Below are 13,985 nucleotides of genomic sequence, written 5' to 3' on the forward strand. Positions count from 1 at the left end.
TGAACAATGAAAACACATGGACTAATTGGCAGGAGGTAGGGGGTGGGTGGGGAACAGCACACATTGGACCTGTGAGGTGGGGGGAGGGAGAGCATCAGGAAAAATTGCTAATGGATGCCAGGCTTAATACCTAGGTGATGGGTTGATCTGTGCAGCAAACCACCATGGCACATTTACCTTTGTAACAAACCTGCACATCCTGCACATGTACCCCAGAGTTTAAAATCAAAGTTGAAGGGAAAAATAATGTGACAAGAAGTGGAACTTGAATCCAGGACTGCCTTCAAAGCCCGTGCTCTAACTGTATACTATCTCCATGTGGTGGGGGTAGTGTTTGGGGAGCAGGGTGAGGGAATGGAGATTCACTTTTGCATATTTGGAGTTTGAGGAAACTGTGCAGATATGTATTCAAATGCAGGGGCTGGGAAATCCAGGATCCCATCCTGGCACTGACTCAAATGAGTCATCTGACCTTGGAAAAGCCAAGGTTTCTCTGTCAGATGAACTCTGAGGTCTAAAATCTGAGACAGACACTGAAGAACTTTAAGTCCCCTCTGTCCAGACAGGAAGCTACTCATAAAAGTATCCGTGAAATAATGATGAAATCTAATGAGCATCCCTAATCACAGAAATAAGGCATTATAAAATCAGGTCGGTAGAAGAGAATGGCCATTTAGCATTTGTTCCTCCCTGCCTGTTCTAAGTCCAGGCCTTCCCAACAGCTCTCCCCTCTCGATCCCTGTCACACTAAATATCTCTGACAGACACAACGATGTACTGTACACAAAAACGCACTTAATTCTGCAATGAGTTTGATGAGAAAGCATTAATACAGAGTCAAAGCAAGTTGAGCAGTCTCCTAATCAGGTCTTCTTGTTTATCAATGGGGAACCACAGACCCTCAGGAGTTCAGACTTAGAGACTAGATCCAAGTCTACATATGCAAAAAACCTCCTCCTAGCTGTCTTTTCTCTCCCACAGCATAGGCCATTTCCCTTCACCAATTTAAGTCTCCCTAGCCTCCCTTCCACAAATCAGAGACAACCAGTCTGACTTTTGTATGAGTTATATTATGACAACCCCATCAGCAGCACCACTATTACAAACCAATGGCAGTTAATATTGAATGTAATTTTGCATACAGAGAACAAGTCCAAATAAGCACTACAAGAAAGTACTTCTCCATTTTTCATTTACACTTCAAATGATTAAAATGTATATAAGAAAAATAAATCTTAAAAAGCTTTTGAGTTGGAAACAAATCCACCACATGAAATTTATCAAGAAATTTAGAAAGAACCTCAAACCCTTTCAGAAATGTAAGAAAATTGATCTAAATTATATATATTTGTACAGCTATCAAATTTTAATACTAAAAATTTCAACATGTCTTTGATTACCAAAGTCTAGATTACCTACCGGACTCTAGAAACCAGTGGTGATTCTGCTGCCTGGAGGCTTATTCTCACTTTATAGTGTGCCAGGGACATAGGGTATTTCAGCATCCAAATTCATATTAAGAATATAGCAATGCAACTCCTCAGAACTTCAGGGGCTGTTTTGTCTCAAAGTTGGCATACTACGTAAGGAGTTTTTGAAACGGAATCTCGCTCTGTCGCCAGGCTGGAGTACAATGGCGTGATCTCGGCCCACTGCAACCTTTGTCTCCCGAGTTCAAGCAATTCTCCTGTCTCAGCCTCCCGAGTAGCTAGGATTACCGGCGCCCACTGCCACGCCGGCTAATTTTTTGTATTTTTAGCAGAGACAGGGTTTCACAGTGTTGCCCAGGCTGCTCTCGAATTCCTGAGCTCCGGCAATCCACCTGCCTCGGCCTCCCAAAGTGCTAGGATTACAGGCGTGAGTCACCGTGCCTGGCCAAGAATGCATTTTTAAAACTGGATATGGCCGGGCACGATGGCTCACGCCTGTAACCCCAGCACTTTGGGAGGCCGAGGTGGGCGGATCACGAGGTCAGGAGATCGAGACCATCCTGGCTAACATGGTGAAACCCTGTCTCTACTGAAAATACAAAAAATTAGCCGGGTGTGTTGGTGGGCGCCTGTAGTCCCAGCTACTCGGGAGGCTGAGGCAGGAGAAAGGCGTGAACCCGGGAGGCGGAGCTTGCAGTGAGCCGAGATTATGCCACTACACTCCAGCCTGGGCGACGGCGAGACTCTGTCAAAAAAAAAAAAAAAAAAAAACACTGGATATAACTAAATGTTTCAACAAAACCAAGGCAAATTATCTTCATGTCCTGATTTCTAATAAAGGAGATAGAGAGGTATGCAGAAACACTTCATTTAAGCATCTACAATTAGTATGATTGCTTGGATAAAACTTGGTTCATGGTTCCCCTCGATTTTTGTAGTATTTGCTCCCCGTGCTACTCATGTGCCATGTATATTACCCGACTAGATTGTAAGTTTTTCGGTGTCTTGAGAAGCCCCTTGTGATGAGGCCTCATCTAGCTGACAGGTGCTTAACTGATGACAAAGATATGATGGAACTCTTTTCATAACCTAGTGGTAAACACTTATCGGCAATATCCCTTTTCCTTCAAATCAGGGATCCACAAGCTTTACGCATTTCAAACACCTGTACAGTAACCACCTTGCTCAGGTGAATATGGTTTCAAGCTATAAAGCAAGACAAATGAATTGAAAAATAATTTGGGGGAAAATGACCTATTGGTAAAACACATAGAAATGGCAAGTTGATTTAAGTTACTTTCATTAACAACTATTAAACATTAGGCCTCAAAAAAAAAAAAAACAAGTTATTGAAGATGCGTTGTAATATTTAAAAATAAATACACAATGTTTGCATTCCTGGTTGAGCGAGACAATGCTTTCCATCTTACTTCTTTTTCAAGAAAAAAAGGATTAATTCAGCCCAAGTCCAATAGAGGTAAGGTGGATTTGTATTTGATTTAAAAATTATATTCATTAAGATAATTCAGCCTAAGTCAACATAGAGGAAGCTTAGAAGTTGTATTTGATTTAAAAATTATATTCACTAAGATTTAAAAGACAAAATTAAAGCCAGAAGCATCCAGGAAGTTGATGGATACTAATGCAGCCAAAAGCCAACTTAATGGAAAACTGTAGTTTACAGTAAATGTAAATATAAATAACTTGGACCCTGATATGGTTTGGCTGTGTCCCCACCCAAATGTCATCTTGAATTGTAGCTCCCATAATTCCCATGTGTTGTGGGAGGGACCCAGTGGGAGATAAGTGAACTGTGGGGGTAGTTTCCCCCATACTGTTCTTGGGGTAGTGAATAAATCTCACGAGATCTGATGGTTTTATAAGGGGTTTCCCCTTTTGCTCGGCTTTCATTCTGTCTTGCCTGCCACCACGTAAGGTGTGTCTCTCATCTTCTCATTCTCTCTCACCTTCCACCATGATTGTGAGGCCTCCCCAGCCACAAGGAACTGGGAGTCACTTAAACCTCTTTTTCTTTATAAATTACCCAGTCTCGGGTATGTCTTTATCAGCAGCGTGAAAACGGACTAATACAGATCCCATGCCATGAGACTACAGGAATGCCTGACAGGCAGGACACACACAATACATATTTGTTGAATTAATGAATAGATTAATATATTCAGATTTGTTATGCTACCCTTTCTTTCTTTCTTTTTTAATTAAACCAAGCTGCTAACCCTTATAAGTTTTTCTACAAATATCTTCTAAAGAGAAGAAAGATGACTGGCAGTAAAAACCACTTATAATTTTACAACTATAATCCCTACTGTATGCATCATGAAAATGATAACACTTGGATGGCTCCAGTGAATCCTATGGCATTTTTTCTTATAATTTAAAATTATGGACCATATAGAGTATCTTAATAGCATATGGCCAAGTCTGTGTGATCATCTGAGGAGAATAATTTGGTTTCATTAAAAAATGCAAATTTAACAGTAGTGCATTAACTCATGCCAACCCCCCCACTCTCAGGACTATCACCAGGGACCTCCCACATGAAATCAATATGCATCCATCTATTTAACTTTTATCACTGGCTCACTAAGTAAATATCACACTATAGACCACTTAAGTATTCATTATTCAGGCAAATAGCAAGCGTCAGAAGCAGGCTGGTAGTGTCAAGTCGTTAACAAATCAATCAATAACTGCTCCCTGTTTGAGTCTACCAAATGAGGGCAAAGATGTGCAACATCTGGAGAGCAAAGCATTGACCTGCTGCCAAGGTGCAGTCTGTTTACGGCGTGGCATTCCATATTTACGCAGACTCTAAGAAAACCACTCAAGGAAACCTTAGTTGTATCATGCCTTTTCAGACTTTAATGAGCATTAAAACAGATCAGCCCATTGATACTATCCTTTAGACACCAAAAGTACTGAGATCCCCAAGGACCATACTGGGAGATGCCAGTTTTTTTGCTACCCACAGAGTCTAAGACTGAGGCGGAACTGGAAAATATGTGAGTGCATGAGGAGCAAATGGTTCAATCTTCGAAGCTTCATTTTAAGATTATTAAAGCAAGATTTTTAGCATTTTATGGGGACCACATGTATGTAGAGACAGCTAACCCTCCCCCCGCCACAAGAGGCCAAGAATGGCTCCAGTTTTTGCAAAGAAGTCACATATTTTTTTCAAGTGTGAGTCCCATTTAACATCACACTCATGTGCCAAGTGCCTGAGAATATCATCTTTTGCACATGAATTTCAGGATGATGGCTACTCCTGTCTGTCTCAGGTTACAGAAAGCCAATACATGGTACTATATCTGAAGTCACTTACCTCTCTTGTCAGCTAAAAGACAGTGAAAATGAAATGAAGAAAAGGAAGCTCAGTCACTAGAATAAAGTTAAGCCTCACAACTGCTTCCTCAATTTATACGTGATAAAAACCAGAATGAAGCAACAGACTGCAAAAAGTGTTGTCCATCTTTTTCTCTCATCATTCCAAAATCCAACAGCAAGAGACTTGACTCAAAGCCATATAAACCTATTGATTATAAATAGCTATTAATTATAAATAAGGCAAATAATAAAAGCTATTAATTATAATGAGGAGAATTGAAGGCAATCTCAGGTCATGGCAGATCAAATATCCACCATTGGCAAGAGGAAAAAAAGACCCTCTCTCACTTCTTACTCACATCTGTGACTTGATCTATGGTAATAACATGACTATTTGTCATCAAACACAGAGGTTAACATTGGCGTGCACACACACATCCCTGCTGGAAGCAAGCCGTGCTGGGTTTTAAATGAACCTGCACTGTATTTATTTACCCTGCTGTCTTATTTCCTGGGTAGAAAGTTTAATTAATACTTCACCCAGAAATAATCCACACAAGAAATAGCTTCACTGGGAGTAAAAGTCATAACAATAGCTTTCTTACTGCATTTTCTTTCTCTTCAATGGAAATCTCACCCTCCTCCTTTCTGTCCCAGTGATGAATGTGGAGTCAATAAAATAAACCACAAAGAACAAGAAAAAAGTTGGAAAACATCCTTTCATTGCCTCTTTATCTAAGATGCTCACTGTACACCATAATTCCAGAGCACAAATTAAAGCAGGCTCTTGTCACCCTAGCAAACTGGACTGTGATGTCACACCCATTACATTCTTCTTTTTATCATGTAACAGCCAGGATGCTAGAAACAAGTTGCAACATGTGTGGTCCGCCCCACCCCCAGCACCCCGGCAGAAACCGCACCCCACTTCCCATAGCCACGTTCTTCCCCAGACCTTACCCTGCCCAAGAGGTTGTCCTGAAGTAATGTCTGCTGCAGCACTGGGGCCACCTCCTCCAAGCTCAACATGTGGCAAAGGTCGGTGAGTTCCTCCTGCCCCAGGGACCCTGTGCCCGTCGTGTCAAAACTGTCAAACAGCTCCTTGAGTCGGGCCTCATGCTGGTCCTGCTCCACCTCATCCATCCCATAGCCCACAGTGCTCACCTGTGTGTAAGACAGAGACAAGGACAGGTTGTGGCAGCCTCTCCAGTCCTACCGTGGTCACCACCTGGCACATTCCCGTTCTCTGTACCCCACCAGTCTCTAGGGAATGCTCGGGAACACCCAGTTTCTGATGCACCCCACAGCAAGACCCCCAGTCTCTGTAGGACCAGCCCTGGCCAGTGACACTCCTGCATGCACTCACATCAGGGGCATATACATAAGCTCAGATCACACTGGGAGCAAAATTACCAGAATGAGAGGGTCACGTACAGTAGAAGACACCCTCCTCTCTTGCCTGGTTCTCAGGCGGACAGCCAGACTGCCAAACTCAAGGCTGAAGGTGGTTCTCTCCCAGCTCTTCTAGCCCAGGATTTTAAGAAGGTGAAAAGCCACTTTGACAGCAAGACTATTCAAGTGAACTAATTGTTAGCGCCAGCAGACTGCATGGTCAGAGCTTCCATGCTAGCTGGCAAGCTTTAGACAACCTGCCCCGATGGTGCAATCGGTCAGCGTGGCCAAGCTGATTCGTTCTACTTCATTCAGCTTAGATGGCCCCCATCATAGCTAGACTGGAGGGCTGCAGCAAGAGGCACTAAATGAACACGACGTCTGCTACAAAACCACCTCCCTGTTTTACATGAAACTAAATGCCTTTTACACGAGTTCCTCAAAAAGCAACTCAATTAACTTCACTGGTGCAATTACATGAGGTGTGACGGGAAGAATATTCCCAGAAGCTTGCTTTAGTCCCAGCGAGTTTTAGGTAATGCTTAGTTGCCTAGAGAAAGGGGAAGACACTATTTCAACCTTTCAGACAGTGAGGTTTAAAGGAGCCACTGACTGGTTTATATGAATCATACAGCATCTCAGGGAACCTCCACTCACTAAAGCATCTCATCTCTTTATGCCTGGTTAACCTGTGTTCCGTCTCTCTCACCTACCCATACTCCAGGCTTTCCATTTTGCCACTGTCCTTAGGATCAGTAAAAACTTGGAGACGTCAATAACTGAGTCATTTTTGTTAAAAATATACATCATAAAATTCCAGGTAGCTCGTATTTTACTAATGAAATCTGTGGTTTTTTTTTTTTCCTTGCATGACAGTTCATTTTTAACGTGCTGGATTTTCCGATGAAAGCCTGAAACCTGCACATCTGAAGATGCCTTCGCCATGATGCAATGGATGCCAAACACGACATACACCCTTGGGACGGTGACCTCAGCCATCTGCAACAAGGCTCTCAGAACCAGTCCTTTGACTATAAAAAAAGCAGCAGCTTTCACTAACCAAGCATCTTTAATCCAAGCCAAATTACAGAACTCTCTAACTTAGAGGTGATCGTCCATACGGCAGATCATTACAACATGAAAAACGTAAGCTAAGATGTTGAACACAGCCAGAACTGAAAATAAAAGAGCTTTCTAAAACAAATCAATGTTGCTCTAGGTTGTGTTTGCTTTCTTTCCATAGACAGCTGTTCAAAACATGACAAGCTACAACAGGGCCACGATCTTGCCAGGGGTTTCAGCAGAACTGGGTGGACACAGAAGATAAATGTGAACAGCTCTGCCATACAGCTCAGTTTTTACTGGGGCCACTCATTAAAGTAAAGCAACATGGCACAATTTTGGTCCAGGTTCCTGGTCTTGGACAGGTCTCTTCTCCTAATTATCAGTTTTTCTGTTACTAAGGTGCTGCAGGCTCTGGCTGTCTTCCCAGGATTGGTCTGTTGGGTTAACTAATCACTATGTAAATGTTTTCAAAATAAGTTGAGAGTGTTATATAAACATCAAAGCCTCAGAAAAGAAACACCAAGTTGTTATGCAAAGCCACAGGAGTTAAGAATTTAGACAAGGCCAACACTTCGCTAACAAGATTCACTTAGAGTCCACCAGTTAATTGTCAACTAAGATCTGCTGAGAATCCCCAAGGTGCTCCAGGATTTTCAGTGTTGCGGTAGCTCTTAGTCTCACTCTGAGTTTTACAGTCCCCTGGGCTGTTATCTGACCGACCTCATAAAAGCAAGACTCTTCTTTTGCTTGATTTTGCATATATGTTTAAAAACTCAAAAGCGAAAGAATTCTAACACTTCCCTTTTTAAAAATTATTTTTAAGGGGCGGGGATTTGTCCATCTTAAACCAATGAAAGAGAGGAATAAAACACTGATGTACTGAGAAGCCCTGATCTTATCCACGGTGTCGAATTTGATATACTATCATGCCCCACTCTTTGGGAGGTCATTGGATTTTCACTAAATCAAACCTCTTTCATTTTATGGCAGCTTTCTTTTCTTTATCTCTTTATTTCATCTCCTTCCTTCTCAAAACACTGTGCTTGACTGAAGGGGAGACAAGCACCACCCCTGTGGAACAAATGCTCACGCTGAAACATCCAGGAGATGTTACGCATGGTGACAAGTTGTCAGTGCTCATCTGGCACAGAAGGCATTTTTACTGGTTGATATTATTTCCCAAATGTTCATCAGTAATTTCATGTGCAAGAATTTTTTTCTCCCCACTTGGCAGAAAGTTCTTTAATGGTAAGATCCACGCTCCTATTTCTTTTATATCTTCCCCCAAATGCATACTACAGTCAGTCTGTTCTTCAAGCCAGGGATTTGGTAAATATCATGGATTGACTTCCTGTATGGATCACTCCTTGAGAGGAAACGTACCCTAAATGAGGTCTACAGAAATGGGCATATGAAAATTTTGGAATGCCCATCTCATCCACCTACACACCTCCACTTCCCCCATCCCACCCTTTCTCAAAGGCATTTTCAGCCTCCTAAGCAAGAAGTAGAAAGCCAACACCAACTGCCAATCTGTAACATGCAGCGCTGTCTGAAGTTTAATTCAATAGGCTAGTAATTAAGTAAATGGATTCACAAACTTCGACTGCATTGTCTTGCTATGGGATGAAACTTTGGAGGAGAATCTATACTAAAACCTTTCTCAAGTCCCCTCGATTACAGCATGAGAATAACAATATCCATCTGGAAGGTTTGTTCTGAGAGTTAAATGTGGCAAGCAAGCGAGAGTGGCTAATTCCAGAGAAAGCTGATACAAGAGGGAATTTAAGATAACCAAAAGAATACCTGCAGCTACAAAGGAGTGGTAAACTGAAGAGGAGGTAACAAGTGAATTATCTACAGATCTACCTCCAAAGAAGCAAAGCAGGAGATGTGAAATGCTATAGAACAGACTGAGAATGGGCAGGGAGTGTACTATGTATATAAACATCATTATATAACTAAATGATAATGGCAGCAGGTAATGTTCAGAGCTTCCTCTATCTTTAAAAGCAGGTTATTGATAAATTTAATGTCAAATAAAAGCAGAAAGCTGCACTGTAACTGGGAATTACTTCTGAACATTTACTATGAGTCTGGCCTAAACTAAGTACTTTATGTATATCATCTCATTTAATCCTCCCAAATCTTAGAAGTGGATCTTCTCATTTTCCCACGCAAGATGTAGAAATTGGGGCTTGGCAAAATTAAGCCACTGTCCAAGGAGACAGCATTAATCTCCTTGAACAAAATGGGGGTGGAGCCAAGATTTGCACTCTAGTGTGACACTGAATTATATTATCCCTCAATCCTACACATGCACACAGAACACATGAATGAGACCTCTGAAATGATGCCATTGGCAAACCACTTATCTCCACCTTTATGTGTTAGCCAGTTGAACAGTACTAAGCAGTAGAAATCCCCACACAACACTCCATGGCCACAAACTTTTCCAAATTGGAATTGAGAAGCAGAGTTCCTTCCTTCCTACCTCCCTTGATCCATTTATTGAATAATTATAGCCTACAAGGCACCAGGGATATACAGATAGAATACACATTCCCTTTTTTTTCTAAAGCAGCTTTGGGATTTAGGGCATGAAAGAAAGAAATTCTTATATAAAAATGATCATGAAGTGTCCCATGTCTTCAATAATGGGCATTGCCCAGGAATTGGTAATTCGTAAATGACTTCCCCTGAATAAACACTTAAGTATGTATAATCTGTGCAATCCAGTGCTTTTCAGGGTCAGATCCTAACTGGTACCCACCAGAGGCAGGAGTCTTACTCAGAGATTAAGAAAGTTACATTTTGAGCGAGAAATTCTACTTCAAATTGCAAAGAAGAGCTCCAGTGTTACGAAGCCTGCCATAATAAACCTGGGCCTCTCCTCACCATCTACCTTTCCAGTCAAATTGTCAGAAGGCTTTATGACTCTTTCGGAATGAAAGAACCAGTATGGGCAATATTTTGGAGTTCTAACTGGGGATGGTTAAATAAGAAGCAGATGCACAGAACCATTAATCAAAACATTTACCACTCAATAACCACCCATAATGACAATTATTCTGAGCATTTTCCTTCCAAATAACTCAAAATAAGGCTGCCAAAATGCTGCCGACTCTGACAGTGGTGTTCATTACCCCAGCTGATGAAATCACAGTGCCAAATAGGACTGCAAACTAAATAGGTGGAGGTGTGGCTAGAATCATGAGTGGACATGTGGATTTATGAACTTTTCAGTGTTCAACCAAGGTACAGAAAGGAGCTTGTAACAATGACACCCCAGCTAAAGGGGACGTCTGTTCTGGGCCAGAGGGAGTGAAAAAGGGACAAAGTCTGGCGAGTGAAAAGGGGACAAAGTCTGGCAAGTGAAAACCAAGTAATAAATATGCACAATGCTAGAGCCCCTAGCCCAGGCCTTTTATTTCGCATCCAGATGGTTCAGCAGCTGAAGAGCTCTGCGGAATGTCTGCATGCCCCTCTCGGCTCAGCTGCTTTCCTTGAGAGGGCATCATAATAGATGCTTTTGGACCTGTGTGCAGACATAGCTGTTGGGGGTCCACAGACTAGGCAGTGACCACCAGTGACTCATTTACTTACTCTACAGCTGACGTGATGAACACCGACAAACCCCACTTGGGCAAAGCTCTCCATTTATGCCTTTAGCTTTCACCATTTGGCAAGTCGGAGCCTAATAACGCCAATGATCAAATTAAAGTGCTCTTTTTCTTCTTTCTTTTCTGCAAATACTTTAATTGGCTGCACAGATTTTCAGGCTCACCATATTGGACTACTTTCAGTATAAAAGGAAAGAGTGACAAGGATAAATTCAAGTTTAGTAAAAGCTCAATAGAAAAAGCAGTTGCAGCCATTTACGAGTTTATATAGGAGAATACTTCCGCCAAAAACCAGTGCTGCTTAGCAGCAAACTGATTACTGTCAGAATGCCTCCTCTCTGCTCAGTGTCTCACTTCTAGCTGGATACCAAAAGCACAACAATATCACTGTGAATGAAATCATGATACAAAAATATAACACGAAAGCTTAAATGCACAGGAAGAAAGTCACATTAAATACATTTGAAAAAATGGCTGGGAGCGGGGGCTCATGCCTGTAATCATAGCACTTTGGGAGGCTGAGGCAGGTGGATCACAAGGTCAGGAGATCGGGGCCATCCTGGCTAACACGTTGAAACCCTGTCTCTACTAAAAATACAAAAAAAAAAAAAAAAATAGCTAGGTGTGGTGGCGCACACCTGTAATCCCAGCTACTCGGGAGGCTGAGGCAGAAGTGTTGCTTGAACCTGGGAGGCAGAGGTTGCAGTGTGCCGAGATCATGCCATTGCACTCCAGCCCAGGAGAGAGCGAGAGACTCCGTATCAAAAAAAAAAAAAAAAAGAAAGAAAAAGAAAAATAACAACCTTTGTCAACTACACTATAATATTTAACTAAGGGAATCCTATCAGCGTTTATTCGAAAATGTAAGCAACCTTTATTATTTTACTATCCTGAAGGATGTAATAAACCCATGCTTTTGTTCAACCTAATAACTGGTAGATTACCCAATCAAGTAGTTAACTCAGGTTAGCTACAGGAAAAAAAAAACAAAAAACAAAAAACACAACAACAAAAAAACGCCATTAGCCTGGCACAATGTGCATTCAGTAACCTGTAATCAACTACTAAGTAAATTACAGAAGCAGAAAACAGAGCTGCATGTTTGTTACAAAAAAAAAAAAAAAGGAGAAAGCTTATAACAACTTCCACTTCTTAAGCCATATTGACTCACATTAATTTAGGATGCCTGAGGCTATGAGTATGGTACCCTGAGGTGTAAGTGAAGGTGATCTTCTCTTCTCACGTCTATGAACAATATTTTCCCAACTTTGTTTTTAAAGTGAGAATTAGGGTATAGATAGATGCTTTGTAATTTTTCCATCCAAAAGCTTGAATAAATGGTTAATTGCTGACTTAAATTGCAATAAAGAAGTGTCCTAATTTCAAACAAGGATGCTCACTTTCAGAATCTCATAATCTTTTCAAAATTCTATTTTATTCATAAATAGGATAAAAATCTTTTTGCAAGCTTCACTAAGTCTCTCCATAAGCCCCTGCCCAACAGATGCAAGTTCAATAGCTAGAATTCAAACCAGATAATTTATTGGCTTACAAATGAATTGGCATCTATAAAAATAAGCCTTCTAAAAAGGCTTCACGCTGTTTAAATCCTTCTAAAATGCTCTGGCTAAGCTTGCCCACCCTTTATCAATGTAAGACTGATAAAATGCATTTTCATTATCAACATAAAATGGAAGCATCAAGATAGTTGAAATGTTAGTTTAGAAAGTCATTTGCAGTGACATTTAAAACAATTTATTTGAACATTTGACTCATGATAAGAATACTGCCTATTACATTAAGATTGGCTGTTCAGAATTCACTGGAGCCCTATTCTCCCCCTCTGTGACAGTTAACATCTTTTGATATTAAGGGTCATTACACATCTAAAATGAAAAAGAAATAAGAAAAAAGAACCCCACGCCATTCTGAGCAAGTGCCTATTAAAATGACTGATCCTTGACATTTTAATGCAGACTGTATGATGGCTTCCTCTCTATTGCCCCCTGTGAAGCCTTTCCCTGTATTGGTAATAACTTTGCCGATGTCCAACCCTGTGGAACATTCATCCTACCTTTTCCCCACTCTGCAGAATGCTTCCCTCTAAAGAATCACCAGAGAACAGGGAAAATAAACAAATCTGCAAACAAATTCCCGGGCAGTTCACATCACCTCCCAAAGGACACTGACAATAGCTGAAGAGACCACAACACACAAACTCGTTTTTCAGCCAGCCTGTAATGTTCCTCCTATACACACTCTGGAAATCCTCAGCTCCCTTCAACTCCGGAGCAAGAGCCACCAATATTCCAGGTCAGCCACCTATATAATATGCTCACCACGAGAGAAGACTCAAGGTAAAATTAAACTGACAGAAAAAAGGAATTTTCCTTGTTAGATCATCAAGCCTCCGGAATCATGCAAACATGTGTGTATGTTATGGTGTTTACGGGGACCTAACTGAGAAACGTCGTGGTTCCAGGGGCTTCCCTCATGTGTCAGGATGGACTTTATCAGGATTCTCATCCTACAAAGCTACCATGTCAGTCACAAAAGACAACTACGCAATCTGTTTCGATGTAATAAATTCAGGAGTTGAGCTGTATGGCAAGCCCATCTTAGAAGTCCTCAACACCAGGAGAGGATCTGTCCTAGTTAGGAGCAGAAAGCAGATCTCATAATATCCAAGTTGTCTGGAAACATGATATATGGTAGGGCAGTCTTTCCAGCTCCCATTTTGTTGGTGCCTTCACCTCGGGTTGTCAGGGCTGGGGTTAGGGAAATTGCCTCTTTCCGTCTCTATCTCTTTTAACTTCGCAGCGAGAGCTGGAAGCAGTGACTGTTCCCATCACCTAGTGTCCTTCTGTCAGGGGCCGCTTCGGTAGCTACAGAAGCCTAGCCGCTGGAAGCTTCCTTCCCCGACACTCCATACCTCCATGCCACACCTTTTAGGCAATAACCAAATGTCATTTTGTTCTTTCCCCTTCTCCTGGGCATTATACTGGGAAACTGTTTACGCGCATCGACCCCGCACACCTCCAAAAATCTCCACTTTCCGGGCTCCAAGCAGCTCTCCGCTACTCAGACAGCCCAGGCTAACACCTCGGATTTCCCCATGCAGTTTCCTCTG

The 13,985-nt window shown here is 41.6% G+C and overlaps 1 protein-coding gene and 1 long non-coding RNA gene across 32 annotated transcripts in view, besides 3 other annotated features; one reads left to right on the forward strand and one right to left on the reverse strand.

The window, feature by feature from the left end:
- Positions 1-13,985, reverse strand: part of NIN (ninein) — a 111,741-nt gene that overhangs the window by 96,376 nt on the left and 1,380 nt on the right. For 26 of the 31 annotated variants that reach the window (XM_047431442.1, XM_047431432.1, XM_047431445.1 and 23 more), the window contains exon 3: positions 5,736-5,939. The exons of the other annotated variants lie outside the window; for them this stretch is intronic. In XM_047431442.1, coding sequence (XP_047287398.1) covers positions 5,736-5,918 — 183 coding nt within the window. In that variant the 5' untranslated portion in view covers positions 5,919-5,939. The remainder of the gene's footprint in view (positions 1-5,735; positions 5,940-13,985) is intronic. 31 annotated transcript variants of the gene reach the window in all.
- On the forward strand, positions 5,659-7,371 carry LOC105370489 (uncharacterized). The gene is made up of 2 exons (NR_135258.1): positions 5,659-5,813; positions 7,044-7,371. It is a non-coding gene; the product is annotated as an uncharacterized LOC105370489 (long non-coding RNA).
- Positions 5,668-5,717: an enhancer, noted in NCBI's record as "active region_8369". NCBI's record gives its function as "activates an Ori minimal core promoter by ATAC-STARR-seq in GM12878 lymphoblastoid cells {active_cell/tissue: GM12878}" and the evidence as "EXISTENCE:reporter gene assay evidence [ECO:0000049][PMID:35858748]".
- Positions 6,178-6,237: a silencer, noted in NCBI's record as "silent region_5728". NCBI's record gives its function as "represses an Ori minimal core promoter by ATAC-STARR-seq in GM12878 lymphoblastoid cells {active_cell/tissue: GM12878}" and the evidence as "EXISTENCE:reporter gene assay evidence [ECO:0000049][PMID:35858748]".
- Positions 13,706-13,755: an enhancer, noted in NCBI's record as "active region_8370". NCBI's record gives its function as "activates an Ori minimal core promoter by ATAC-STARR-seq in GM12878 lymphoblastoid cells {active_cell/tissue: GM12878}" and the evidence as "EXISTENCE:reporter gene assay evidence [ECO:0000049][PMID:35858748]".

The sequence above is a fragment of the Homo sapiens genome, chromosome 14 (assembly GCF_000001405.40).
Source record: "Homo sapiens chromosome 14, GRCh38.p14 Primary Assembly".
Taxonomy (NCBI): Eukaryota; Metazoa; Chordata; class Mammalia; order Primates; family Hominidae; genus Homo; species Homo sapiens.